At 53.6% G+C, this 27,900-nt stretch overlaps 1 protein-coding gene across 3 annotated transcripts in view, besides 10 other annotated features; it reads right to left on the bottom strand.

Annotated features, from left to right (window-relative positions):
* The window catches only part of MRC2 (mannose receptor C-type 2), a 65,928-nt gene that overhangs the window by 12,053 nt on the left and 25,975 nt on the right, over positions 1-27,900 (bottom strand). For all 3 annotated transcript variants that reach the window (NM_006039.5, XM_047437208.1, XM_011525543.2), the window contains exons 2-18: positions 16,596-16,997; positions 15,278-15,451; positions 14,926-15,090; positions 14,675-14,788; positions 14,012-14,155; positions 9,708-9,896; positions 9,393-9,547; positions 7,375-7,482; positions 5,640-5,755; positions 5,014-5,162; positions 4,059-4,276; positions 2,899-3,041; positions 1,643-1,745; positions 1,237-1,375; positions 1,092-1,127; positions 585-745; positions 416-483 (exon numbers count right to left, since the gene is read on the bottom strand). In NM_006039.5, coding sequence (NP_006030.2) covers positions 416-483; positions 585-745; positions 1,092-1,127; positions 1,237-1,375; positions 1,643-1,745; positions 2,899-3,041; positions 4,059-4,276; positions 5,014-5,162; positions 5,640-5,755; positions 7,375-7,482; positions 9,393-9,547; positions 9,708-9,896; positions 14,012-14,155; positions 14,675-14,788; positions 14,926-15,090; positions 15,278-15,451; positions 16,596-16,997 — 2,584 coding nt within the window. The remainder of the gene's footprint in view (positions 1-415; positions 484-584; positions 746-1,091; positions 1,128-1,236; positions 1,376-1,642; positions 1,746-2,898; positions 3,042-4,058; positions 4,277-5,013; positions 5,163-5,639; positions 5,756-7,374; positions 7,483-9,392; positions 9,548-9,707; positions 9,897-14,011; positions 14,156-14,674; positions 14,789-14,925; positions 15,091-15,277; positions 15,452-16,595; positions 16,998-27,900) is intronic.
* Positions 1,035-1,763: an enhancer, noted in NCBI's record as "H3K4me1 hESC enhancer chr17:60757143-60757871 (GRCh37/hg19 assembly coordinates)". NCBI's record gives its function as "activates a minimal SCP1, AML or CMV promoter by ChIP-STARR-seq in primed H9 embryonic stem cells {active_cell/tissue: H9 hESC(primed)}" and the evidence as "EXISTENCE:reporter gene assay evidence [ECO:0000049][PMID:30033119]".
* Positions 8,930-8,999: an enhancer, noted in NCBI's record as "active region_12541". NCBI's record gives its function as "activates an Ori minimal core promoter by ATAC-STARR-seq in GM12878 lymphoblastoid cells {active_cell/tissue: GM12878}" and the evidence as "EXISTENCE:reporter gene assay evidence [ECO:0000049][PMID:35858748]".
* Positions 8,930-9,237: a biological region, named in NCBI's record as "Sharpr-MPRA regulatory region 5505".
* Positions 8,943-9,237: a silencer, noted in NCBI's record as "tiled region #5505; K562 Repressive DNase matched - State 12:CtcfO". NCBI's record gives its function as "represses a minimal TATA promoter and a strong SV40 promoter by Sharpr-MPRA in K562 cells {active_cell/tissue: K562}" and the evidence as "EXISTENCE:reporter gene assay evidence [ECO:0000049][PMID:27701403]".
* Positions 9,247-9,747: an enhancer, noted in NCBI's record as "H3K4me1 hESC enhancer chr17:60749159-60749659 (GRCh37/hg19 assembly coordinates)". NCBI's record gives its function as "activates a minimal SCP1, AML or CMV promoter by ChIP-STARR-seq in naive H9 embryonic stem cells {active_cell/tissue: H9 hESC(naive)}" and the evidence as "EXISTENCE:reporter gene assay evidence [ECO:0000049][PMID:30033119]".
* Positions 9,748-10,248: an enhancer, noted in NCBI's record as "H3K4me1 hESC enhancer chr17:60748658-60749158 (GRCh37/hg19 assembly coordinates)". NCBI's record gives its function as "activates a minimal SCP1, AML or CMV promoter by ChIP-STARR-seq in naive H9 embryonic stem cells {active_cell/tissue: H9 hESC(naive)}" and the evidence as "EXISTENCE:reporter gene assay evidence [ECO:0000049][PMID:30033119]".
* Positions 10,568-11,326: an enhancer, noted in NCBI's record as "H3K4me1 hESC enhancer chr17:60747580-60748338 (GRCh37/hg19 assembly coordinates)". NCBI's record gives its function as "activates a minimal SCP1, AML or CMV promoter by ChIP-STARR-seq in primed H9 embryonic stem cells {active_cell/tissue: H9 hESC(primed)}" and the evidence as "EXISTENCE:reporter gene assay evidence [ECO:0000049][PMID:30033119]".
* Positions 11,327-12,086: an enhancer, noted in NCBI's record as "H3K4me1 hESC enhancer chr17:60746820-60747579 (GRCh37/hg19 assembly coordinates)". NCBI's record gives its function as "activates a minimal SCP1, AML or CMV promoter by ChIP-STARR-seq in primed H9 embryonic stem cells {active_cell/tissue: H9 hESC(primed)}" and the evidence as "EXISTENCE:reporter gene assay evidence [ECO:0000049][PMID:30033119]".
* Positions 14,885-15,475: an enhancer, noted in NCBI's record as "H3K27ac-H3K4me1 hESC enhancer chr17:60743431-60744021 (GRCh37/hg19 assembly coordinates)". NCBI's record gives its function as "activates a minimal SCP1, AML or CMV promoter by ChIP-STARR-seq in primed H9 embryonic stem cells {active_cell/tissue: H9 hESC(primed)}" and the evidence as "EXISTENCE:reporter gene assay evidence [ECO:0000049][PMID:30033119]".
* Positions 26,847-27,557: an enhancer, noted in NCBI's record as "H3K27ac-H3K4me1 hESC enhancer chr17:60731349-60732059 (GRCh37/hg19 assembly coordinates)". NCBI's record gives its function as "activates a minimal SCP1, AML or CMV promoter by ChIP-STARR-seq in naive H9 embryonic stem cells {active_cell/tissue: H9 hESC(naive)}" and the evidence as "EXISTENCE:reporter gene assay evidence [ECO:0000049][PMID:30033119]".

Below are 27,900 nucleotides of genomic sequence, written 5' to 3'. Positions count from 1 at the left end.
CCAGGTGCTCCTGGTCCTTCCTGCCTCAAGCCCCCCAGTACATGGTAAGTAGGCACCAAATACAAAGAGGCCCCCGGATCATCATATGTTCTGCCCACTTCCCCGAGAGGGCCTTAGTCATGATGAATGACACCAGACGTAACAGGAGCTGCCATTATTTAGTAACTAATGTGCTGGATGCTGCGTAAGCACTTCGCATATGTTATTTCTAATCTTCACAAAAATCTTACCAGGCAGGCCTCATATTCCCATTTTCAGATGAGAAAACCAAGGCCCAGAAAGGTTAAGTATCTTGCTCAAGGCCACACAGCCAGCAAGGAAGGGGCAGGGCTGGATTCAAATGCAAGTCTGCCTCTGTGCTCCGTGTGTGGACAGCCAGCCCCCTTCCACATCTGCTGCCTGCCTGGGTTCCTACCTGAAGCGCCCATCGCTCTCAGAGGTGTGCAGGCCGATCCACCAGTGCTGCTCCTGGGCCCGGGAGAACTGGAGAAGCCAGGCGGGCAGGTGTGGGTAGGCAGCCCCCTGCCCTCATCCCGGGCCTGCCCTCCCCCAGCCTGCAGCCCCCTGCTCAATCCAATGCCCACCTTCTGCAAGTTGTGGCTCAGGAAGTCTAGCTCCGCCTGGCTGTGCACCGAGGTCAGCTCGGCCTGGAACCACGTGCAGATGCGCTGCGCCTGCGCCCACGTGGAGTGGTGCTCAAAGAACTTGTACTCGGCCTCCTGGAAGCGCAGCCATTCCCGTCGGCCTGCAGGAGCAGCGCGGGCGTGGGAGCGGCGGCCAGGCAGAGGCTGCACGCCAGGCCCCGGAGGCGGGCGCGGCAGGGCCGGGGCAGAGCCAGGCGGCAGCAGGCGAGCCTGCAGGCACACCGGACCCAGGCAGGCACCGTGCCAGGCCCCAGGCCCCAGGCTTGCCTCGCCTCCCACACGGAAGCAAACAGGGCTGTGGCTGCCTCCGTCCGAGCCAACCCCGTCCCCCTTCTCTCGACCGGAACTCCTCATCCCCTCCATTTCATTCAGGCCTCTCGGGACTTACCCCAGAGTTGACGCCCTCTCCCACGCGATGGGTAGCGGGATGGGCTGGGGGGTGCTCACCTTGAGGGCTGTCGTCGGGCTCCCGCACGTCCGTACCTAGGGGAACAAGGACAAAGACGTTGTGAGGAAAGGAGACCCTCCCTGGAATTCCTGGCCCCGCCACCCTTCGCTCCATCCCGCGTCCCCCAGCGCCACTCCGGCCAACCTCTGGGGATCTTGCAGATCCAGTCCAGCTGTGTGTCGCACTGCATGGCCACCCACTGCAGGGAGGCCAGGTCCAGCACCGCACAGCCTCGGATGTCGTCGTCGTCGTGCCGGCTCCGGTCGAAATTGTGGTAAGAGAACTGGAGGAGGCGGGTGGAGGGAAGAGGAACGTGAGGCGCAAGGTGCAGGCCGCCCCCATGCCCGGAACAGGTGAACAAGAGGCCTGGCCTGAGCTGCGAATTCTCACCGGGGGCCGGGTGACCCCTCTCGGACCTGCTTTCCTGAAGCCGGCTCCGACTGGGGGCCCGGCCCTCAAGAAAACCCGCCCACCTCCAGGCCCCGCCCCAAACAGGCCCCGCCCACCAAGCTCCCGGCCTCGCAGTCCCAAGTACCCCAGGCCCCCTCACCCCTACGCCGTCGCTCCAGCGCCAACTCTGACCCCCTCTGGGATCCCGACGGTTCAGGCCGATCCAGAACCAGTGCTGCTCGTGGATCTCGGGTTCTGATTCACTTCAGCACAACCCAGGAGTGGGGACGGAAGAGATGGGAAGTGAGAGGGGCAGGAACCCAAACGTGCCCCCTGTCCCTTGCAGCTGTGACCGGGGCAGCCCCCAGGGCCTGGGGCCTCTCCATCTGGGCTTCACATTGACCCATCGATACAGCGTTGAGGTCACTTCGGTAAAGTTCTCCCCACAAGACAGAGCTGGGGAGAGCTGGACCAAGCCATCCACTCAAGGGGCAGTGGCCCCTCCCCTTTGTTTGGGTTCCTTTTGGGTGGGGGTGCCCTGTCCAGCAAGATTCTGCAGGCTTTTACTTTACGGAGTTTAGGAAGTTCAGATGAGGAGGTGGCAGGGATCTACGGCTCTGGAGTTAAATAAACCTGGATTCAAGTATCCGTTCACCCATGAACTTGGGCAAATAACCTCTCTATCAACCCACAAGGGTCAGGGGTTAACGTCTGCTCCATAGGGTTGTCGGGAGGCTTGAGTGAGGACTATATGTTTAGCACAGTGCCTGGTACGTGGTGAGAAGTGATGACCATGAGCTATTGTAATTATGAGACAAATAATGTAATTTCAATGTTTGCTGAGAGGAGAGATCCCTTCAATTAAGCTATCAGGAAGCCCAGATCCATCTCGATTTTCCCAGTGCTAGGGGATTCCACGTGCTAATGCTCAGAGCCCAGGACAGAGGTGGTGTCTCAGAGGGAGGCCCATGGGCAAATCCTCATAGCTGCGGCCTTTCTCCTCCTATCTCTCAGGAAAAACTGTGGATTGAGGAGTGTGGGTCATTGTAGGATGGTGTAAGGTGAGGGGAAACACTTGCCAGGACCAGCATGTGGGAGATTTTGCAATGGGGTGGGGGGTACATATGTAAGTTTGTGGGTCTGTTGGAGCATTGCTGGGGGGATGATGGTGAGCAAAACACAGTCTCCTATGAGTGCATGGATCACACCAGCCTGTTCTCCCAAGATGCCAGGGCACCATGGCTACTTGAGTGAGGACAAGATGGTCCTGGCACCAGCAGCAGATGCAGGCCTCCCTGGGGTCACCCACATTCTGCCATCCCCCTGCTCGCCCAACAAAACCAAGGGTCTGTCGGCCATGCCTGCTCCTACACGTGTGCGGGTGCCCTCCTAACACGCCTCAGCCCGGCTCAGTACCCGAAGATCTTGTTGAGCATGTTGGCCACAAAGTGCTCCTCCTCGTAGCTGGCCAGGCTCAGCAGCTGGGCCCCCAGCTCCTGGCAGGCCCCCTGGGCCTGGACCCAGCTCTTCTTGTCCTGCAGCCGCTCTGAGCTGAACACCTGCAGGGGCAGAGTCCAGCTGTCTAAGCTGTCCCCACTGGCCCACCCCTCAGGGGGCACCTACTGCCTTTCCCACCATGGCAGAGGAGGGGCCTGGAGCCTTACTGGACAGGGGGCTAAGGCTAGCTAAGGACAATCCTGTTCATCTGCAGAGGTCTGGGGAGGGGAGCTGGCACAGTCACCTTCTGGAGAGGGCCCCTGAGCCCCATCCCCTGACCAGCAGGGAGATCTGGGCTCTAATCCCAGCAGAGCCACAGCTTAACGTGGGTAAGTCCCTTCTTCTCCCTAGACTTCAGTTTCTGTGCATAATAAAAGACCTCGGACTCTGCCAGTGGCTCCCAAACCTAGCGTGATTAAAAATACAGATTACCAGGCCCAATCCAGACCTAATGAATCTAAATCTCCATTGTGACAGCCTAGATTTTTATCTTTATTTATTTATTTATTTATTTTTGAGACGGAGTCTCGCTCTGTCACCCAGGCTGGCGTGCAGTGGCACGATCTCGGCTCACTGCAAGCTCCGCCTCCTGGGTTCATGCCATTCTCCTGCCTCAGCCTCCCGAGTAGCTGGGACAACAGGCGCCTGCCACCACACCTGGCTAATTTTTTGTATTTTAGTAGAGATGGGGTTTCACCATGTTAGCCAGGATGGTCTCGATCTCCTGACCTCGTGATCCACCCGCCTTGACCTCCCAAAGTGCTGGGATTACAGGTGTGAGCCACTGCGCCCGGCCAAGATTTTATTTTTATCAGGTTCCCCAAGCAATTCTGAAGAACAGCTAGGCTGGCCCCAACATTTGGGAACCTCTGAAATCAATGATCTGTGGTTCCCTCAATTCCTCAAATGATTACTGAGCACCAGGCCTCCAGATTCCATGGACAAGTCTCACCAGAAATCACCCGTCTGCAGCCTGGTGTGTCTCTGGATTGTGGCTGGTCCCACTGGGACCTCCATCCAAACTGTCTCTTTGCTCCTGTCCTCCCCCTGCCCCCTACCCGGCCAACAGGCTGCCCTACCTTATAGCAATACCGGAGTTTGGTGTCCGAGGCCCAGCCCTGGGGACAGGAGCCAGTGAGGCTGGGCGTGGGATCTGGCCCCGGCAGCTCCGGCGTCACTGGAGTGCCCAGGCTCTGCCGGCAGATGTAGCGGGCCCGGAACGAGGTACAGTTCTTCACCTCCCACAGCCCCATGGCGCTGCCAGTGGCCAGCGCCACGCAGCCCCCACGGCTGTACCCTGAAGGAGAGGGAAGGGAGACCCAGGCTCTGAGAAGGATTCATAGTCTGGTCCTCCCTCACATCCCGGCAGGGCACTAGCACGGCCCTCACACTGGGAACCAGCTTGGCCACCTCTTCAGAGACATGCTCTCTGGGGTTGGAGCCAGGAGGGAGGAAGGGAATGGAGGCAGAGCCCTGGCTCTGGGTTCACCCACTGTGAGGGCTCAGGCAAGCTGCTTAACCTCACCGAGCCTGCTTCATCATCTACCTCATCAGGTTATTGAAGGGGTTAGAAAGATAATGAATGTGAAATGGTAATAATAGTAATAACAAGCACTTGTATTGCGCTCAGTATTCTGAACACATTTTTTAAATGAGTCCAGATAGAGAAGAGATTATTTGTTTCTTTTTTGTGAGCCCAGATAGAGAAGTAATCTAGACACTTTACACACATTAACTCTTTACACATATTAGCACTTTACACATATTTAAGACTCATGTCATCCCTATGAGGAAAGGATCATTATTCCCACTGGACAGATGAGAAAACTGAGGCTCAGAGGATGCACAGCTAAAAGATGGCAGAGTCATGATCGGAGCCAGGCAGTTTGGTTTCAGAGCTTGTGCTCATAGACACTACACCACAGTGCACCAATGATCTGTTTATGGGGAAGCCCTGGGGCTCGGTGCTGGCAGGGCCAGTCCACCCTGGCCTCCCTCCTCGCTTCACCAAGGCAAGTCAAATAAGGGGCTCACCGGGCTGGTCCCGGTTCCAGTGGGTGTACATGACTTCATCCCCACTGAGCCAGAAGAAGGAGCCGGTGCTGTTGAGGTCCTGCAGGGCCGTCCAGAAGTACTCGCCCTCCCAGTTGTAGATGAGGCTGCTGACGAAGGCCTGCTCGAACCTTCAGGAGACAGGCTGGTCAGGGCAGGGATCTCCCTGCTTCCCAATCCCCCAGTCACAGGCCAGACGCCCTACCGTGGGAGCTCGGGTGCTGCACCCGACCAATAACTTGCTCAAGAAAGCAGGGACGCCTGGGAGCCCTGCAGCTGATTTATGGAACCCCCAGCTGCCCCTTCTATTCTCTGCACCCCTTGCTTTGCTGAGAAGAAAGTAGAGAAAATCAGACACAACCAAGGCCTCTCTTTCTCAAGTATCCAGCCCACACCTGTGCCTGCCCGGGCCCTGCCCTACACTGGGGTCACTTAACAAGTGAGAGTCATTCTTCTGACAAGATTTTAAAATGCCCTGGAGCCCACTGAGGTTCACAGGACTCCAGGTCCCTCTGGGCATGATGGCAGATGCTACCCTGTTTGCTGAAGGGACCACAATAGGCCCAGACATGGGCAAGGGCTAGTCAGGGCACCCGCCCCTGCTGTACCTGTTGGTGATGGTGACCAGCTGAGAGCCATGGTCAGTGCACAGGCGCCGGGCCTCACTGTAGGTCACTTGGTCTTCTCCCAGCCAGTAGCAGGATGGGCTGTGCCACGTCCAACCCTGGCTCAAGAGTGGACAGAAGAGGGGTGTCTGTAGGGAAGATGACTCTCCACCCTCACCCATAAATCCTGTGGTGGGAGATGCCATCAGGGACATCACTGAACGTGCTCAGGACGGAGGGGACTGGTTTGAGTACTGGGCTGTGTTCTGCACCTCGTTTCTCCACATTCCCCCTCCACCATCACCCACAGCTGTGGAAGCTGGGGTGGAGGCCCAGCCCCAGCGTGGCTGATTGGCAGGCCACCAGCGACCGGCCAGTGACCCGGCTCGGGAAGATGAATGGCCCTTCAGGCTCCTCTCTTGGGCATTTAAACCAAGAGACACAGTGGGGAAATTACTGTTGGCTGGGAAACCACAGCTAAAGGCTGGGGAGAGCTGCCAGGATGGAGAGGGGATGGGCAGTCCTCGAGGGCCTGGCAAAGCTGGAGTCGGCGCAGGATGCTCCTGGCCCGGGGATGGCAGGAGGGGCTCAGAGACGAGACCCTGGCAGGCGAGGCTGGCAGGAGCCAAGGCAGAAGAGAAGCAGATGTGGTATGTGTGGTGGGGGCCTCATCTGCTGGCAGGGGCTGTGCCAAGACCCCTGGTGATCCTGGGCTGTTAACCATGGACCCTCAACACTCCCCACACAAATTCCAGGCTGGCCTTGGTGCCAGAGAAGTTGGTAATTCCTCTCTACTCCTCCCTTCACCTCTTCGCAGCCATGACACAGCCCCTGGGCCAGGCACTGTCCTTGCCAGTCCACAGACTCCGCAGCTGGGCTCTGCTCTCCCCTCTGCTTCCTCGCCCATGGGGCCATGCCTGTTAGTGTTTCCTGCTCATTTTCTGGGGGAGGCTTTGGGGTCCAGGTGGGTGTGGTAGGGGCTTAATCCAAAGGAAAACAGAGTGAGGAGCCAGCCTGGCTGCAAGGGGCTGCTGGGGGGGGCCAAGGGCCAAGCAGTGTCTTTTAGAAGCAAGCTCCCCGCACCCATCACAGCATTTGCACCCCTGCTCCACTCCCTGGAGGAGGAGAGGGTCTGTCACCCCCTCACACCCTCAGTCACTCACCCCCCACTCACTTACACAGCTTTCATTCCTTGACACCCCCCCCCTCAACCTCCCTAAACATCCTCTAGAAGCCCACTGGGGCTGGGAACACAAGGAGGGGGAAGGTGCAGCCCCACCCTGAGTGGCCTCACTCCTCCAGGGGAGACAGACCAGCACACGCCCTGTGTCAGACGGCAGAGGAGGGGGAAGTCAGGACTGGCGGTGCACAGGGGCCACACTTCACTTCGGCAGCCACTGCTTGACATGACTAGGCTGGACTCTGAGGGGGCACTCGGGGGTAGACCAGCCCCCACCTCCCTGTTCTCTGCTGTCTCGAGGAAGTGGCTTCCCCCATGGGGAGGGACTCAGGACTGGGCTGGGGGTGGGGAGCTCTGCTTCCTCCCAACAGCGCCCACCCGTCCCATCCCATCCAGTATCACTCCTTCAATAAAGGAGCAGTTTGGAGAGCTCAGGGAAGGGGGTGCCGACGAGAGGGCGATGCCATGCGAGGCAGCAGGAGTTCATCCACCTCTCCCTCCCCTGGTAGCCCCTCTGACAGGTGGCCCCACTCAGGGCAGCTCCAGAAACACCCTCACCTTCCGGCAGCCATGGTCCTCCTCGGCGGCCCCCTGGCTCAGCTGGCCTGCCTTCTTGCAGATGGATGGCAAGGACTGGTTACAGGGACTGTCGTTCCAGCGGCCTTCCTACGGACACAGGGTGAGGAAGAATCTCAACCCCCACCTCCCCATAAATCTCCCAAATCCTTCTTGGAATCTGGTTCCTAGAGCTGGCCCTGTCTCTGACTTACTGTGTGATTCTGACATGTCTGTGTCCCAGCTGTGCAATGGGGAAGGCGGGATGAACCCATAAGCCTCACAGGGTGGATGAGAGCACAAGCAGTTCATGTGCAAACGCCTTGAAACTTAACAAGCATTGTCTAAATGGGAAAGGCATCCTGGCCCGGCGCGGTGGCTCATGCCTGTAATCCCAGCATTTTGGGAGGCCGAGGTGGGCGGATCACTTGAGGTCAAGAGTTCAAGACCAGCCTGGCCAACATGGTGAAACCCCATCTCTACTGAAAATACAAAAAGTTAGCCGGTTGTGGTGGTGCATGCCTGTAATCCCAGCTATTTGGGAGGCTCAGGCAGAAGAATCGCTTGAACCTGGGAGGCAGAGGTTCCAGTGAGCCAAGATCGTGCCATTGCACTCCAGCCTGGGCGACAGGGTGAAACTCCATCTCAAAAAAAAAAAAAAAAAAAGGAAAGGCGTCCTTTTACATTATTGATAACTCGTTTTATAAATATCAAAAACAAACTGGCTAAGATTGTTAGAGTAACTGATGGCAGGATAGACAGCTTGGATTCCCAAGGCGTCTAGCTAGTGCCTGCAGGGCCAGAGTGTGCAGAGGCCAGTGTGCCCAGACCAGAATCTCAGCTGATGAAGCTGAGGAGGAATTTAGTCCTCGGCCCCTGCTTCTGTCTTCGCCCTCCCCAGTATCCACAGGCCCCCAGCCAGCAGTATGTCTGTCTCTAAGCTCCATTCTGAGGGCAGGCGTGTTTGTGTATCCTAGCACCCAGAAAAATGACTGGCACATGGTAGATACTCAATACATAATTGTTTTAAAATTCTTAAATAGCATCCCCTAAGGCAAATGACTGCCACTACAGTCCACAGCACTGTTTGCAGTATGTGACAGCAGAACATCCTGTCTGTCCCTAGGAAGGGTGGTCTGTGTCCCTACGGCTTTCTCCTTTTTATTTTATTTTTTTTTTTTTGAGACAGGGTCTTGCTCTGTCACCCAGGCTGGAGTGCAGTGGTGCAATCTCAGCTCACTGCAGCCTCTGCCTTCCAGGTTCAAGCGATTCTCTTGCCTCAGCCTCTGGAGTAGCTGGGATTACAGGCATCTGCCACCACGCCTGGCTAATTTTTGTATTTTTAGTAGAGATGGGGTTTCACCATGTTGGCCAGGCTGGTCTCGAACTCCTCACCTCAAGTGATCCGCCTGCCTCAGCCTCCCAATGTGCTGGGATTATAGGCATGAGCCACCACACTCAGCTGGCTTTGTCCCTTTTTTAAGGGTCTTTCATCTCTGCTTGAAGCCCTCCATCAATTCCTTCACTTACACCACATCTAAGCCCAAACCATGGCAAATTGTCATAAAACCCAACAATCTCTTGAGATGACAGGACCCTGGACTGGGTAGAGCACTGGGGGCGAGGGCTGGCAGAGTGCAGCCCTGCTTGCAAAGTATCTGCACATAATGTGGGTTCTGATGCCACCTTCTGGCAGGGAAGGGCAGCTGGGAGGAGACCAAGAATGCGCCAGGCACTGTGCCTAAGGTTTCACGAGAATTAACTCCTCTGATCTCCCCAGTGACCCTCTAGTAACTTGCCCAAGGTGACTTGGCTACTTGGAGGTGGAGGTGGAGGTAGGATTCAAGCCCCGGCAGTCTCTCACATGGAAGGGAAGGCATTGGTGGGGAGGAGGGGGACTGCTGAGAGGTAAGAGGTTCCAGGCAGGTTCTGATAGTAACTAGGATGTCCTTCAGCTGGGGTGGCACCTGGAGGTTGGGGGTGTATTTTGTGGCCCTGTGATAGGGAGAGGGAGATCTCACCGGGCCCCAGATGGTGACACAGTCCTCCAGACTGTCCCGGAAGTTGTTGGGCTCAAAGGGGTGCCAGTGGGTGAAGCTCACAAGGCTCCCGTCAGACCACTCAAAATTCATCTGCAGTTTCAAATCGTTGAGGCCGATCCACAGCTCCTCCACCTCTGGGGGTGCAGCAGGAGAGGAGGGGAGAGAAAACATTGAGAGGTCAGCCTCAGCCACCAGTAGGGAGGAAGGAACATTCTCTGAGGCTCCTGGACAGGATGGGTGGGGCAGTGGGAGGCCCTGCCCTCCACCCAGACACGTGGGCGGGCAGCTCCTCACCTTGCTTGATCTGCTTGGTGATGAATTCCAGCTCCGCCATGCTGTGGATGCTGACCAGGTCGCCACCGCCCCGTAGACATGCCTTCTTGGACTCCTGCCAGCTGCGCTTCTCGGCCTGCAGGCGGTAGCAGTGGCCCTGGAAGGGCTGCCAGCTCGGCTCGCACTCCACCTTCACATTGGCCCACCTGTCTGCAGAGACCCATGAGGCTGCTGCTCAGGGACTGAGCCGCCCAGTCTGGGAACCAACCCACTGGGTTGACGTCAACACAGGCGAGGCCTCCCAGTCACCTCCTCTCCAAACTCTCCCAGATCAATCCCGGTCCCCACCACAGGTCTTGGAAATGCTAAAAAAACACAAAACTTTACAGGGCTGCTGGAGCCCCGGGACAGAGACCCAAGTCGTGGTGGCAGATTCCACCCAGGACAGAACACTTCCTCTGGCTGTGGCTCTCAGAATACGATGGGTGGGCCAGGCATGGTGGCTCAGGCCTGTAATCCCAGCACTTTGGAAGGCTAAGGCTGGAGGATTGCTTGAGCCCAGTAGTTCAAGAACAGACTGGGCAACAAAGGGGAGACCCCATCTCTATAAAAAATAAAAAATTAGCCAGGCATGGTGATGTGCGCCTGTGGTCCCGCTACTCAGGAGGCTGAGGTGGGAGGATCACTTGACCCGGGGAGGTCAAGGCTGCAGTGAGCCATGATTGCACCACTAAACTCCAGCCTGGGCGACACAGCAAGACCTTATCTCAATCAATGCATCAATCAATCAGTCAATAAACGATGGGTAGAAAGGACAAACCAGCCCCATGAACCTCAGTTTCTCCCTCTGTAAATGGGGTTTCCTGCTATGAGATTCAAGCTTGGCTTATGGCCCCCTGCCTAGTAAATGGAATCACTGTTATTCTCTCAAATAACATTTATTGAGCACCCACTCTGTGCAGGTCTGGGAAGCCCAGGAGGGAGAAAACTGGGAAACGGGACCTTGAGCCACTAATGGGGCCCAGGCAAGCCCACCAGGAATCTGAGGTCTTGGTGGACGGGCAACCGAGAACATTAGGAGGTGCTCAAAGTCACTACAGATCGGCCCCATCCCCCAGCTGGGACTCCTTCCCCGCTCCTAACTCCTAACCCTGAACCCCAGGGCTGAGAAATCCACCCGTCCCAGGCCCTCCCTTGCCCCGATTTCCATGCCTTTCAGGTTCACCTTCTAGGGGTTGGGATCCGAGGGCAGCTGAGGCAAACAAGCCCTTACTTGGTCTTGGCAAGAGAAAACAGGACTTCACCAAACCACCCACAGTGTCATGCTCGGGCAGGATTCTGCCTAGTCGGGCAGGAAACTGCGCGCCCACTAGAACACGGCCTCAGACTGGGATTCCAGTGGTCCAGCCACACCTGCTCCTGGAGACCCGGCAAAGCTGGGCGGACTGAGAGCCCGGTGGGCTCGCTCTCTGGCTCAGGACCTGTCAATCATCTCTTGTTAGCCAATGAGCTAAGACCTGAGGCTGCCGCCCCAGACAAGCGGATTTTAGTGGCTGCTGAGACCCGAGGGGCCTCAAGGACCGGAAGGGAGCTTGGGAAATGTGGATGCTTTGGGGACACGACGGGGCGCCTGCCTTCGAAATGACAGGACTTAAGTGATGAGACCGGGAAAGCAGAACCTGCCTAGAATATGCCTCGTGCAGAGAGATATGGGCTGGGCAGAGGGGCGGAAATCCGAGGCCTTACATCTGTCTGCAGGTCCGGGAAGACCCAGAGGACAGAGGACTTGGTAAGGGGCCACAGATAGGCTAGGCATGCCCACACCCGGGCCTCCCAGCGGGCCCCTTCCTTCAGAAAGGTGCTTGTGGGAGGACTGGACTAGGGCCCAAGGCTCCCTCCAGCTAGAGGTGGAGGTGCCCTAGATCGGGTTGCTGACGTTTCAAGCTTCTGCTCCTGGCCCCTTACGGAATGGGAGATAAAGCAGTGGTCAGCAGTCCTGAATCAGGCCAGAGCCGTGGCTCACGCCTGTAATTCCAGCACTTTGGGAGGCCGAGGCGGGTGAATCACTTGAAGACAGGAGTTCGAGACCAGCCTGGGCAACATGGTGAAACCCCATCTCTAAAAATACAAAAAAATTAGCCGGGCGTGGTGGCACACTCATGCCTATAATCCCAGCTACTCGGGAGGCTGGAGCATGAGAATCGCTTGAACCTGGAGATGAGAATCGCTTGAACCTGGGAGGCGGAGGTTGCAGTGAGTGGAGATTGTGCCACTGCACTCCAGCCTGGGCGACAGAGCGAGACTCTGTTTCAAAAAATAAATAAATAAAAATAAAAATAAAAAGGCGGGGTGCGGTGGCTCACGCCTGTAATCCCAGCACTTTGGGAGGCCGAGGTGGGCAGATCACCTGAGGTCAGGAGTTCAAGACCAGCCTGGCCAACATGGTGAAACCCCGTCTCTACTAAAAATACAAAAGTTAGCCGGGAAGTAGTGATGCCCGCCTGTAATCCCAGCTACTCAGGAGGCTGAGGCACGAGAATCTCTTGAGCCTAGGAGGCAGAGGTTGTGGTGAGCCAAGATCGCACCACTACACTCCAGCCTGGGTGACAGAGTGAGACCCTGTCTCAAACAAACAAACAAAAAAACCAGTCCTGAGTCGATCATTGGCAAGACTTCCATGGTCAGGAGCAGAAGTTTTGCTCTGTAAACTCTTTACTGTCTGTAGTTAGTGTTGTGTGTGTGTGTGTGTGTGTGTGTGTGTGTGTGTGTGTGTTGCCATATTTTCTTTGTAAAAGTCTCCTCACCACCCCACAGCTTCGCAGGAAACTGCACAGCCCCTCCAACCTACACCACAGTAAACATCCACAGCCAACTACAGAAAAACTCCTTCGTGCCAGGCCAGATCTCCAGCCTTCCTCACAACAACCTTGCAAGGGGGGTGGCTTCATTCTCCATTTGCAATGAGGACTCTGCACCCCAGAGACTAAGCTGCTTGCCCAGGGCCACACAGCAGTAAGGGGCAGAATCCCTAAAGCAGACCCTGTCCATTGCCCCAACTCCTCCACGAGGCCCCTAAAGCTGTCTCTATGATCACAAACGAGAACCAGACACTCCCTGGCTTAAACATCTTCAAAGGCTCCCCACAGCCTACCTGGCCCCACCCAAACTTGGCCCAGCAGCCAAGACCCTGCAGAGACTGGCTGCAACCTGCCTCTTCTTCACCATGCCCTTTAAGCCAGGGCTTCCCAAACTGTGTCTGCACATGAATCATCTGAGGATCTTGTTAAATGCAGGTTCTGATTCAATTACTCTGGGGCGGGCCTGACTGTGCATTTCTAACAAGCCCTCCGGGGATGCTGTGCTGCTGGTTGGATGACCATACTTGAAGTGGTTAGAATCTATACTCCACCCAAACTGCAACAGGCACCATCCATTTTTTTCTTTTTCTTTCTTTTTTCTTTTTTTTTTTAAATTTATTTATTTATTTATTTATTTATTTTTTGAGGCAGGGTCTCGTCTCGCTCTGTTGCCCAGGTTGGAGTGCAGTGGTGCAAGCGAGGCTCACTGCAGCCTCAACCTTGCAGGCTCAAGCAATCCTCCCACCTCGACCTCCCTAGTAGACAGGCGTGCATCACCACACTCAGCTAATTTTTTAAAAATATTTTGCAGAGACAGGGTCTCGCTATGTTGCCCAGGCTGGTCTTGAACTACTGAGCTCAAGCAATCCTCCTGCCTTGGCCTCCCAAAGTGCTGGGATTATAGGTGTGAGCCACGGTGCCCGGCCATCACTCACCACCCCTTAAAGCTGCAGTGTAGTTCTAGGCCTCCACACCTTTGCATATGCTCTTCCCTCTGCCAGGAATGCCCTTCCCCCACACCTCTTTATATCTTTTAAACTTAGACTCAATTTGAAAGGCCCAAATCAAATGTTATTTCCATAAACCCCTCCTTAACTCTCAGAAGCTGAATCAGTTTCTTCTCTATGCTCCTCTAACACTGATCCATATTTCTATAATCACTCATGACCTGGGATAGTCTAACTGCATTGAGATGTCTGTCACCTCCAGCAGACTGTGGTCTCTACGAGGTAACAGTGGGTATTGCCAGCATTTAACACAGATCTCAGCACATGTTCCCCAAATGAATTAATGACATATTCCAATTTGCTCAGACTTTAACTGAACAATGAAATAAGAGTCAGAGGATCCAGAGTCCCCTTGTGCTGTGGTGGTAACCGGAGGAGAGGCTGGGCCTGCCACGGCTCTGTGGCTGTGTCCCTGGCCCTGGGAGCCCCTCCCCACCCTGCGGCACAGTCCCTGGCTCACCTGGAGGGGTGGGCTCGGCCGTGGCGTTGGGCTTCTTCTTGCACACATAGGGCAGCGCGATGCTGCAGTCACGGTTCTGCCAGCCGCCCGAGGACTCAGTGCGGATCACTCCACAGTTCTCCTCACTGGGGTTGTCCGGCTGGTCTGTGGGGAGGGCAGGGCGCCAGCACCCCCGGAGAGAGAAGCTCACACCGTGGCTCCCGGGGCCCTGCTCAGAACCTCCTACCTCCCTCTGCTCCCTCGGAAGCCTGAGCCAGTTCGGGAAGCCTGGTGCTCAGCTCCAGCTCCGCCCCAGACCACGGGGTCCTCCGCGCTTTCTAACCTGGGTGCACGTCGCCTTGAACCTTCTACCCAGTAACCAGTACCAGCCCCGCCCCGGCCTCCCCGTCCAGGCTGCTGGGTGCGCTGGTGCCCGCTGCCCACAGGGGTGGCTGAAGAGGTGAGTGGAGGCTGGCACCCAGTCCATATGCACCAAGACCTTCGGCCTGGGGCAGCGCCGCCCTACATGGGCTAGGGGGGCGCAGTCTGGGGAGGGGGGTGGAGGTCGGTGCTTCCCCTACCCACACTGCCCCTCTGCAGGAGGACATGAGGAGAGGAGTCCATGGGAGGCCAAGAGCCCGCGGGGCCCCTATGCTGCCCTGCGCCCCCAACCTTGTGCCTCACCACTCTCCCAGTTGAGGTACTTGAGGGGCGAGTTGTCCGACCACTGCCAGCCTCCGCTCGTGTCCAAGTCATTCAAGCCGATCCACAGGGTGGAGCTGTACCCAGTGAGGAGGCCTGACAGCAAGGAGGGACACTGAACAGGGGATCCCCAGCCCCAGCCTCCCCCGCTCCCCATCGCCCTCTCCCCAACCCACAAGCGGAAAGGGCCCGGGCCCTCCAGAGGCACGAGCAGGCATCAGGCCCCGGCTCACCGTTGATGTAGGTCTGCTCGTGGATCTCCGTGATGCTCAGCAGATCCGCACCCTGCTGCTCGCAGCTGGCCCAGGCCTCCCTCCACGACAGCGTGGACTGGAAGTTAAACTGGTAGCAGCTGTCAGTCAGCTGGTCCTTGTCCCAGAAGGTCTCGCAGTCGTTACCTGCCACCACGACAGCCCTCTCCTTCAGGCCCCCTCCAGGGTCCCTCGGGAGTGCAGACCCTCCCCCACCAAAAGGCTACACTAGGTAGGGGAGGGGGCAGTATCTCACCCTGGGCCCCGGGGCCCCTCAGCACCAGCCTCCCTCCAGGAACACTGCCCCCGCCCCCACGGCTCCAACAGCTCTCACTCTTGATGGGGCAGAAGCCCCAGCGCTCGTCTTTGCCGTAGTCCTGGGTGGTGGCACACCACAGGTGACCATCCTCGCGGCCCGTGCTGGTGCAGCCGTGGAACCACTGGTTGTCATATTTGAAGGGGATGGTGCACGGCTTTCCGTGGGAGTTTCCCTGGATGGTGTAGACCTCTGCAGGGGGTGGACAGGGGCCAGGCCCTTGGCATCTGGACACCAGAGGCTGCCAAGCCCCTCGACCCTCAGGAGAAATCCCCTAAAACCCAGAGTGCTGGGTGTTCACAGGGATCAGCAGGTGGGAGAGGCAATGGCACCCCATAGTGGCTTTAAGGCTTCTTCTGCTGTTGAGTCAGCCCAGGAACCAGAGAGAGGTCTTGCTGCACACCTCATAGGGCTGGGAAGGGGCTCCCTAGTACCCCTAATCCCATCCAAACTCCAGCTGGGCAAGAGGGCCTCCAAGTCACCCACAGAGGGCTGAGCCCGGTGGAATCTCTGCTCAGCTACCCAGCCCATGGGCTCTGTGTCCCCACAAAGTTCTATCTCGGAACTCAGGGGGTCTCCCAGGAAAGGCCCCCCCAGGACGGGGCTGTCCACCACAAGAGGCCAGCCCCTCACATGGTGACTCTGGTCCCCATTCACCACATGCAAGACAGGCATTAAGACAACATGGGGGGCTACAATGGGGTTTCACCTGGAGAGTGGGCCTGGGGGAAGGGAATTTTCATTTAATTTTATGTTATATACTTGTATACTATTTGAAGACTTTACAAGCATGTATTTTGCAATTTTTACAAAAGTAAATTAAATGCTTTGAAGTTAATTTTTCTTTTTTCTTTTCTTTTCTTTTTTTTTTTGTGGGGGGGGGGACAGAGTCTTGCTCTGTCACCCAGGCTGCACAGTGCAGTGGCGCAATCTCAGCTCAGTGCAACCTCTGCCTCCTGGGTTCAAGCGATTCTCCTTCCTCAGCCTCCCAAGTAGCTGGGACTATGATGGGCATGCTCCACCACACCTGGCTAATTTTTGAATTTTTAGTAGAGATGGGGTTTTTCCATGTTGGCCAGGCTGGTCTTGAACTCCTGACCTCAAGTGATCCACCCACCTTGGCCTCCCAAAGTGCTGGGATTACAGGCGTGAGCCACCGCACCTGGCCTGAAGTTAATTTTCTTAATTATTAAAAAATGCTTCCTATTATAATTAAACATGTGACTGCCAAGGGTCCACAGAGGCCAAAGGCCTTGTCACTGGGAATCTGTCCCTCATGGCTCCAGTCCCCTGGACATCGGGGACCCCACCCTCCCGCCTGCAAGCGGCCCCTCACCGTGGTAGGGCAGAGCACATAGGTCCTCCTCGCTGCCGTAGATGCGCCACTGGCCACTGCGGGTCTGGTCACCACGCTCAAGGGTGCCAGGCTTGGATATGTTGCTGGTGCGGGCCCCCAGGAGCAAGGACAGCTGGTCACCCAGTGTACGACAATGCCAGCGAAGATTCAGTGCTTCCCGGTCACACTCATACATGCCCAGGGAGGCCGTGGTGTTGGTGCCTGGCCAGCCTGTGCCCAGGCACTGCATGGTACCCAGGTTGAATAGCCGGTTTCGGGAGACCCACTTCCAGCGCTGGGCAGGGAGGCTGGTATTGCAAGCCGGGGTGACTCTGACCTGCCCGCCCTGGGCCTCCAGGCAGCCCTGCAGTCCATGGCTGAAGATGAGGAAGACGTTGGGTTCTGGAAGGGAAGGCAAGACACGAAGGCATCACAGGGGCTCTCCTGGTTGGCCCTTGATGACCGGTGTGGCTGACAGGCACCTACCATGTGCCCAGTGCAGGATGGTGAGCCGTCACTCATACGTTAAATCACTCGGTACTCACTACCAACCCTCTGAGGTGGAAATGAGTGGCAGTGCTAAGCCCTTGTGCCCAGATGAGGCAGAGGCCTGCAGGACTACCTCTGTTCTAGCCCCTGCTCACCAGGAGGGAGGACTCAGTCCTCTGTACCACCCTCAAAAGCAAACCCAGGCCGGGCGCGGTGGCTCACGCCTGTAATCCCAGCACTTTGGGAGGCCGAGGCGGGCGGATCACGAGGTCAGGAGATCGAGACCATCCCGGCTAAAACGGTGAAACCCCGTCTCTACTAAAAATACAAAAAATTAGCCGGGCGTAGTGGCGGGCGCCTGTAGTCCCAGCTACTTGGGAGGCTGAGGCAGGAGAATGGCGTGAACCCGGGAGGCGGAGCTTGCAGTGAGCCGAGATCCCGCCACTGCACTCCAGCCTGGGCGACAGAGCGAGACTCCGTCTCAAAAAAAAAAAAAAAAAAAGCAAACCCAACTCCACCCGGCACATCACCTGTATACTTTTCTGAAGATTTTATGAGGAGGAGTGGAGGCATTTACACCACACACCACGTTGCAACCTCAATCTCAATCTCTATTACATGGCGTGGTTTTTCTGCCAAAATTCTCCTTTGATCCGGAGGCATTGTGTCTCACCCTTCCCCCTGCCCCTTGCACTGGTTCCATCCTTTCCTTCTTCTAGGATCTTCCCAGACCACTCATCCCACCCCTGAACTATTTCACGCCTTAATTTTTACGCAGCAATTTAATTCTTTGGCTTCCTCAACCTTTCCTCTTTCCACCTATCTCCTCGCTGAGCAGGCACCCTCTGTAGAAGTCACTGGGGGAAATCCAACCTGCCCCCCACCACAGCACACCCACTTTACAGAGTAAGAAATGAAGCTTCAATGCATAGAGACAGAAAGCAAATTAATGGTTGCCTGTGGGTGACGAGAAAGGGGAGTGGCTGCTAAAGGGCACGGTGCTTCTTTTGGGGATATGACGAAAATGTTCTAAAATTAGATTGTCATGATAGTTGCACAATGCTGTGAAAAAACTAAATCCCAATTAAATATATGTTTTAAATGGGTAAATTCTATATGTGAGTTATGTTTCAGTGAAGAAAAAGAAAGGAAGGAGCAAGGGAGGGTAGGAAGGAGGAAAGAGAAAGAAAGGAAGAAACTAGGGAGGAAGGAGGGAGGGAGGGATGGATGGTAGGAAGGAGGGAATGAGGGAGGGAGGGAGGGAGGGAAGGAAGGTAAGAAAAGACAGACAGAGTCTTAGAGACATGAAGTGACCTACTCCCAGTGTCCCACGCCCAGTAAGCAAACCCAGATCTCTGTGACATCCATCACCTTCCTCTTGTTCCCTGACTGCCACTTATGTACACAACACACATATGGAGTACATCCAATCTCCAAAGAACTTTTGCATCCACTAGCCACTAGCTCCCCAGGATACTTTTCATGTGTTGAAATGATGAATCCGACTGCTAGTGTTTATTTTCTTTTGTTTCTTTTTTTTGTTTCTTTTTTGAGACGGACTATTGCTCGTGTTGCCCAGGCTGGAGTGCAATGGCTCGATCTCGGCTCACTGCAACCTCTGCCTCCTGGGTTCAAGCAATTCTGCCTCAGCCTCCTGAGTAGCTGGGATTACAGGCATGCACCACCACACCTGGCTAATTTTTTTGTATTTTTAGTAGAGATGAGATTTCTCCATGTTGGTCAGGGTGGTCTCAAACTCCCAACCTCGGGTGATCCGCCCACCTTGGTCTCCCAAAGTGCTGGGATTACAGGCATGAGCCACCGTGCCCGGCAGCTAGTGCTTCGATTCTAGGTCTGCCACTGAATATGGGACTTGGGCAAAGTGCTTCATCTCTCTATGCCGTTTCCTCATCTTAAGACTCTGGTAACGATGAAATGAGATAATACATGTAAAGCATTTGGAACAGGATCTGGCACAGTAAGAAGACTATAAATCAGCATTATGCTATGTTATTGGTAAAGAAATTGGCTGAGGGTGGTGAAGCAATTTGATGACAAGAGTCGTAAGATTGTTAAGGGAAGGAGCTGAAATGTGGCCCTCATCTCCTGGGTCCAAATCTCAAGTTCTCTCTCTTCCCCGATGCTGATCTCATCATCCTATTATAGTCCATTCTCCAAAGACAGTCAGAATAATCTATTTTTTTTTTTTTTGAGACAGAGTCCCGCTCTGTCACCCAGGCTAGAGTGCAGTGGCGCAATCTTGGCTCACTGCAACTTCTGCCTCCCAGGTTCAAGCGATTCTTCTGTCTCAGCCTCCCGAGTAGCTGGGACTACAGGCACATGCCACCATGCCTGGCTAATTTTTTTGTATTTTTAGTAGAGACAGTGTTTCTCCATGTTGCCCAGTCTGATCTCAAACTCCTGAGCTCAGGGAATCTGCCCTCCTCAGACTCCCAAAGTGCTAGGATTACAGGCATGAGCCACCGCACCTGGCCTAGAATAATCTTTTAAAGATATAAATCAGTCCTAGAAAAAATTTAAAAATATTATTGGAATGTTGAAGGTCATAGACAACACTGATGAATTCAATAGCATAAGAACTTTTTTCCCATAAAAAGATTTTTTTAATGCCAACATATGATGCCATCAGCAAGGTCAAAATTCAAATAAATGACAAAAATATATGTGCCTTATTAGAGGCAAATAGTTAAGTCCACAATATTAAAAGAGCCTCTGGCTGGTCCAAAGATGGTGAGTTATCTCAATTGGTTGTTCATAGTCAGTTACAGACCAAAGTCTTTGTTCTACTCTTTCCTCCTTTCTGACTTTACTAGTCTTAAGAAAGAAGGAAGGAAGGAAGGAAGGAAGGAAGGAAGGAAGGAATGAAGGAAGGAAGGAGAAAGAAAGAAAGAGAAAGAAAGAAAAAGAAAGAGAAAGAAAGAAAGAAAAGAAAGAAAGGAAGGAAGGAAAGAAAAGAAAAGAAAGAAGAGCTTCTACCAAAAAAATAGATACATGAAACTTAGGGAAAGTATCAACAATGCAGTAGAAAATGAAGAAGAGATATGCATAGACAGCAAAAGAAGAAAATGCAATTGCCTCTTAAATATTTGAAATGACAGCCTCGCTCATAGTAAAAGGGAAAAAAACAACAACAACAGAAGGCAGGTAAGTCTTCCTCCTGCTTGAATTACTTCAAAGATAATTCATCATTCTTCAAATGAGATTCAGCCTCTTACTATGAGCCACAATTTAACATGATCTGGTCCTGTCTAACGGCCTGATCTCAAATCTTGTTACTCCACCTTGCTCAAGTCGCTTTGACCTCCTTGTTCTTCCTTGAACAAGCCTGGCTGTTTCCTATCTCTGGGCCTATGCATTATTTCCTCTACCTGGCATTTCACATTTCAAACAACAAAAAAGGGTAACATCTTTAGAGAGATCCTCCTGGCCTCCCAATCGTAAAGTGACCACAGTTACTCTCTATCATATCACTTGATTATAATGCTCTTCATGGCATTTATTATCTGATTTTTTTCACCATCTGGGTTGTCTGTGCATCTGCATCTATTGACTGTTTTTTCTTTTGATTATGGGTCATCTCCTGCTGCCTACTATCTGCAAATTTTTATTATATGCTGGACATTGTGGATAATGTCATAAGGAGTCTGGACTTTTTTGTTGTATACTGAACGTCAGGGATGCTATGTTAAAGGGAATCTGGATTTTAAAAAAATCTTCCTCTAAAGAATGCTGGATTTTGTTATGGCAGGCAGTTAAATTACCAGTGGATTACCTTGCTCTTGTGGAGGTTTGGTTTTAAGCTTTGCTAGGGTGGGGTTGTTTGAGTTTTGCCTTTAGTCTTCAGATGTGGCTCTTAACCTTGGATTTAATCATAAGGTGAGGCCCTTCTGGGATTTCAAAAGAAAACCTTAGGTGATTACTAAGCCCCTCAAACTTGGTGGAACTTAAATTTTAAACTCTGTTTCCTCAGCACCAGATAGCAACTGAAACCTCTACCTCCCAGCTGCTGTTTCTTGCTGGGCTGCTTAGAACCCTACCCTGCAAATGCACAGTTCAGGAGTCACCAAGGATTTAAGGAGAATCTGTAGAAGGAATTTCTATGGCTCCTTGCTTTCCTAACATTTCCTCTCAATGTTAGCCTTTCTAGTGGCCCCAAGCTCTAACCGGTAAAACTGCCACTTTCTGTATGAGCTCCTCAAACCAGGTAGTGTGTTCAGGGAAAAGCTGGTTAAATGTGCCAGGTTTACTTTTTACTTTCAAGGATTTTTTCCTCTCTACCTCTGTCTGGTTTTAATTGCTGTTCATTGCCTTCAAATCACCATAATCACCATATTTTATAATTTTCCCTTAGTCTAAAAGCATTCTTGGCCAGAGAGTTAGACTGACACAAGCTACTCTGCCACTTCCAGAACCAGAACTCGCTATCTGACACTCTTGTTTTCTGTCTTCTCCACCACTGTAACCCCAGCACCTACAGTTCTGCCTGACACACAGTGATGCTTAAATACTGAAGGAACAAATGAACACATGCATGAATGAACGAATTTCATGCCTAGATAATAATCACAAACAACCAGCCTATCTTTCTGCTCCTTGTTCCAACAGCCAGATTAATTTTCCTAAAACATAGTACCCACAGCTCCTGTCACTGATGCTCAAAACACCACCATGGGAATGTAGGTTGGGGCAGGGACCCTGCCCCTCTGTCCTCTAACAGCACTTGGATGGGGTTCCTCTCTGGGCAGGACAAAGTGAGCTTCCTAAAGTACCCCTAGGACAACTGCCACAGCTAATCTCTGGGTCCCCTGCCTTGAACCTGCTCCTTCCCTCCTGCCATGAACAGAATGTGTCAACCTCCAAAAATTCATGTGCTGAAAGCTTTTTTTTTTTTTTTGATACAGAGTCTCGCTCTGTTGCCCCAGCTGGAGTGCAGTGGCGCGATCTCTGCTCACTGCTGCAACCTCCGCCTCCCCGGTTCAAGCGATTCTTCTGCCTCAGCAGCCTCCCAAGTAGCTGGAACTACAGGCCTGCGTCACCATGCTCAGCTAATTTTTGTATTTTTAGTACAGACGCAGTTTCACCATGTTGGCCAGGCTGGTCTCAAACTCCTGACCTCAGGTGAGCCTCCCACCTTGGCCTCCCAGAGTACTAGGATTACAAGAGTGAGCCACCACGCCCGGCCTGTGTTGAAATCTTAAACCCCCATGGTGATGGCATTAGGATGTGAGACCTTTGGGAGGTGCTTAGGTCATTAGGGAAGAGCCTTCATGGATAGGATGAGCGTCCTAATAAAAGACACCCCAGAGAGACCCTCACCTATTCCACCATGTGAGGGTACAGTGAGAAGACAGCTGTCCACGAGGAAGTGGCCCTCACCAGACATTGAATCGGCAGGAACCTTGATCTTAGACTTCTCAGCCTCCAAAGCCATGAGAAATACATTTCTATTGTTTACAAGCCATCTGTTAACGGTATTGTGTTATAACAACCCAAACAGACTAGGTCACCTTTCAGCCACCCACCAGAAACCAGAAACCAGCTCCAGGACTTGATCCATGCCTGCCCAAGCTTCCTTTAAGGAGTAGGTATCTGGTTCTCAGAAACTCTACTCCAGGCAGTAGTAACAGAAAATGGCCTTGGCAGGAGGTAGCCAAAGGGGCCTGGGGCCGGAAAAGGAAAAAAATTATTGCTTGTTTTGTAGATGTTTCTCAGAGATACGACTGGAAAACGAAGCCCAAAACTTCACGTGAGCCCACAATAGCCCAAGAGGACGTTATCTTCCTCTCCTCCCCAGCCAGAAAATCCACAAGTGTGCTAAATCAATGCCAGGTGGGCTGTAGCAGTTGTAGCAAACGGTGAATGAAGGGTCTGAAAGAGGTCCAGGTTAGTCGGGAGGGGCTTTTCCCAGGGTCAGGCCAACCTCCCCTCACTTGACAGAGGAAACTGAAGTCCAGAAAGGGGACGGGATTAGAATGTCCAACAGAAGTACCTTTCAGGCCTCAGTTTCCTCCTTTGTCACATGAGGCACAGCTTCAAGGCCCCTCCTCCCTCTGACATCCTAGGCTCTGGGTTCAAATCCACCCAACTTTCTGCTAGGTGCATGGCATGTTCCAGGCAATGCTGGGACCACAAGGAAACTCGCAGCACCGTCCCTCCCCTCGCAGGATTTGTAATCCAGTTAGAGGAGAAATGCCGGGCATAAGAGCAAACAAACCTTTAAAATCCCAGGTGTCTGGGGGCGTTACAAGGAGCTCTGTGCCTCCCAAGGGCCGAGAGACTCCGCTGGGCAGAGATCTGAAGACTGCAATGTGGAGGAGGCACTGAAGAACACAGGTCACATTTTCTCATTTGGCAGCAAAAGAGGACAAAGGCAACCTCTTGCATTTTCTCATTTGGCAGCAAATGAGAAAAGGCTGAGGAATCAAAAAGCAGAGGAGAGGCGTGCAGGAGCTCTGCAAAGCAAAGGAGAAGCTGAGGGGGGATTCCTGTAGGTGGATCCGGGGGGACTCTGCCAAGCCGGGGTCAGGGGGTTCTTGAGAGCATTTTCCACCCGAAGTGGCCGGTGGGCCTGGGCCCTCAATGAAAAGAGGCTCTTTCTCCAAGGCCTAGTGGAGGGGGAGTGCACGCTCAGGCTGGGCTGGAACTGCTGGGGAAAGAGAAAAGGCGTCCTGAGAGCTGGCTCTGTGTTCTTTGTACCCGTGCTTCATCAAGCACATACAAAGCGGGCAGAGGGAGCTCAGAGTGCAGAGGCCTGATGCCCCCCACCCCCATCCAGAGAGGGCCCCTCCAGCCTCACCCACCCCCCAGCCTCATCCATATGCATGGGAGCATCAGGTGTCAGTGCAGGGAGCAAAAGTGCCCCCCACAGAAGGTGCAGGGCCCCTCACAAGGATCTTGGGATTCTCCTCCCCAAGGACAAAGACCACTTCTTGCATTTTGTAGGCAATCAACCCATGCCTAGCACAGTGCTACGCATCAAGCTGTGGCTCAATATGTTCTTACTGAGTAAATGGAGAAATGAATGAAGCTAGGCAGGGAGCTGTGCACTGAGCACTGGCTGGGTGTGATTCATTCATTTATTCATTCATTCATCCAACAATGATGTATTGAGAATTTCATAGATGCCAGCAGGGCATCAGGCACTGAGGGTATTGTGAACAATATAGACATGATCCCAGCCCTTATCACCATATGGTCTGGCAGGGCGCTGGGCTCTACAATGAAGACATGGCAACGATAACAATCTGTGACCTCATTGAGCTGCCTTTATCTGCCCAGGAAACTTCCCATCCCCTTCTTGTTCTCCTTGTATTGTGTACCTCTGGCTATGTGGATGTGTGGGTGGGCACAAGGCTCACTCTTGAGCTGATGACAGTGTCTATCCCCTTGGCCACAGTGATGGGGCACATAACTCAAACAGGGCTGATCAGAGAACTCCCCTGGAACACATAAAGCTTTCCCTTTTTGTTAAGATTGCTAGGCTGGGGCTGCCAATGGCCATGCTTCCTACGATGAGGGGATAATATATAAAGAGAAGCAGAGTGAAACGGGACAAAGAGATGGAAAGAGAGGAAGTGAGTCCCAAAGATGCTGGATGTCCTGTCCCTGAATCCCTGAGGCTCTTTCCTCCATTCTGTGAAACACTCAGGATCATCTGCAGCCAGCTGGGCTCCTGCATTCCTTTTTTAATTAGCTTGTCTGCATTGGGTTTCTGTCCCATTCTCCTTATTTCCTGGGAGGTTACTGCTCTAGGACCTCCTCTGACCTGTCAGACCAGCCTCTTGGGTCGGCTGCAGCACCAAGGCCATGTCAGAGGAGGTGCCTGGAGGCTGGACCCTCAGCCCATTCTCCTAATCATCCTTCTGGCTGCTCCCTTGGGGGCTTTCTTATCCCATACAGATGATAATCATTTATGAAGCACTGTAAGGGAAATTAAAAATGAACCAGATGCTGGGCACAGTGGCTCATGCCTGTAATCCCTGCACTTTGAAAGGCTAAGGTGGGAAGATCGTTTGAGCCCAGGAGTTCAAGACAAGCCTAGGTAACATGGTGAGATCCCGTCTCTACAAAAAAATTTAAAAATTAGCCAGGTGTAGGCTGGGCGTGGTGGCTCACACCTGTAATCCCAGCACTTTGGGAGGCCGAGGCGGGTGAATCACGAGGTCAGGAGTTTGAGACCAGCCTGGCCAACATGGTGAAACTCCATCTCTACTAAAAGTACAAAAATTAGCGGGGCATGGTGGCGCACACCTGTAATCCCAACTACTCAGGAGGCTGAGGTAGGAGAATCGCTTGAACCCAGGAGGCGGAGGTTGCAGTGAGCTGAGATTGCACCACTGTACTCCAACCTGGCAACAGAGTGATGTTCCATCTCAAAAAAAAATTAGCCAGGTGTGGTGGCATGTGCCTGTGGTCCCAGCTACTCGGGAGTCTGAGGCAGGAGGAATAACTGAGCCGAGGAGTCTGAGGCAGTAGTGAGCTATAATCACGCCACTGCATTCCAGCCTAGGAATCAAAAGAAGATACAGCCTCTGCCCTCATGCGTTTATAATGAAGCTGGAGAGGCTGAACTCATGAAGCAATCCATGGAAAAGTTTAAGTCTGCACGGTTGGGGGTGAAGGTGATAGATAGAAATGAACTTTCCAGATAAATGAAGTGTGATAGAAATATTTCTTTCTTTCTTTTTTTCTTTTCTTTTTCTTTTTTTTTTTTTTTTTAAAGAGACAGAGTTTCGTTCTGTTGTCCAGGCTGGAGTGCAGTGGCATGATCATAGCTCACTGCAGCCTTGAATTCCTGGGCTCAAGTGATCCTCCCACCTAAGCCCCCAGAATAACTGGGACTATAGGCATGCACCCCACCATGCCCAGCTAATTGTTGTTTGTTTGTTTGTTTGTTTTGAGATGGAGTCTCGCTCTGTTGCCCAGGCTGGAGTGCAGTGGCGCGATCTCGGCTCACTGCAAGCTCCTCCTCCAGGGTTCACACCATTCTCCTGCCTCAGCCTCCCGAGTAGCTGGGACTACAGGCGCCCGCCACCATGCCCGGCTAATTTTTTTGTATTTTTAGTAGAAACGGGGTTTCACCATGTTAGCCAGGATGGTCTCAATCTCCTGACCTCGTGATCTACCCACCTTGGCCTCCCAAAGTGTTTGTGTTTGAGACGGAGTCTGCTCTGTTGCCCAGCCTGGAGTGCAGTGGAGCGATCTCCACTCACTGCAGGCTCCACCCCTGGGGTTCATGCCATTCTCCTGCCTCAGCCTCCCGAGTAGCTGGGACTACAGGCGCCCGCCACCACGCCCGGCTAATTTTTTTGTATTTATAGTAGAGACAGGGTTTCACCGCATTAGCCAGGATGGTCTCGATCTCCTGACCTCGTGATCCGCCTGCCTCGGCCTCCCAAAGTGCTGGGATTACAGGTGTGAGCCACCGCACGCAGCCCCAGCTAATTGTTTTTACTTTTTGTAGAGACGGAGTCTTGCTTTGTTGCCCAAGCTGATCTTGAACTCCTGGCCCCAACCTCCTGATCCTCCTACCTTGGCCTTCCAAAGTGCAGGATTTCTAGGTGTGAGCCACCGTGTCTAGTTTGATAGGAATATTTCTGATGTAGTCCACACTTCTTGTTTCTCAGACATCCAGGTCATCACCTGGGAAACATGCCTGTGCTCATGGGCAACTGGGTTTTAAAGCAATTTGCCCTACATTGAGTAACCCATCTCCTTCCTCCTTGATGGTCACTGAGGCCTCCTCTCCCGTCCTGTCTGCTTCAAGGCACACAATGCTTTGGTGAAGTCGCGAGGCTGAGTGCAAAGGCTTGACAACAGTTTGTGTCTCTGGAGCAAAACCCTCAGCTGTTGCTGCAGTTTCCCCGGACTCAGCCCATCCACAGAGGCAGCCAGAGGTCTGACCTCAGATAAGACGGCTGCTCTCCACAAGACATCACAGATGAAGGAGGCAGATGAGAAGTTAATTCTAGCATGGTGCCTGGCATGCAGCGGACTCTCAACAAATATGTGTTGAATGAGAGGCATGTCACATAAAACCCTGAAAGGCACAAGCAGAGACAAGGACAAGGAAGGCATTCCAAGGACAAGGAAGGCGGTCCAAGCTGCCCAACCGCAGGAGCAAAGGCTGCAGGCAGGAACGCAGGGCCCAGCGACCACCTGGCTTAGCTCCTGGAAAGCTGGGGGCTGGAGGACAGCTGGCCAGCCCTGGAGGGGACTCAGTTCCATCCCTGAGGGCATGGCAGGGTGGCCTCCAGCCTCTGAGCCTCTCTCCCTTCACTGCCCCTCCCCAGGCCACGCAGAGGCGAGGGGTCATCCCAGGGAGAGCCAGAGGCCGCCTGAAAGGGCCGCCAGCCAAGAGGAGCAGCTGTTTTCAATGAGCTGCTTAACCTCCAGGCCAGGCCTGGAAATGTCCTTGAGTCAGCAGAAGCTGCCAGCCCCACCCTGCTAAGAGGCCAACCCTGGGGACCCAGCACCCCACCCTGCACCACCCCTGGCTAGAGACTGTGTCCACGTACATGCATGCACATTAGATCCTGGGCTGGACGAGGGGGGCATTGCTTCCATGGAGGACGGGGGTTACATGATATCGAAGCCCAATACCCCGCCCAACTGTGCAACATCCCCACCGACATCCTGAACCATGGTGGGTTTCCCTCTACCGGCCACCTTCCCCTTTTCACACCCTCCTCCCTCCTCCCCAACAGCCCCTCCATCCCAGCCAGGCCAAACTGCTTTCCTCCCACAGCTTAAAGTGCTTGTGCCTAAAACCTACACACACAGTCCCAGTGTTGCG

This window comes from Homo sapiens, chromosome 17 (assembly GCF_000001405.40).
Source record: "Homo sapiens chromosome 17, GRCh38.p14 Primary Assembly".
NCBI classification, from domain to species: domain Eukaryota; kingdom Metazoa; phylum Chordata; class Mammalia; order Primates; family Hominidae; genus Homo; species Homo sapiens.
This window is presented reverse-complemented; position numbering and strand designations above follow the sequence as displayed.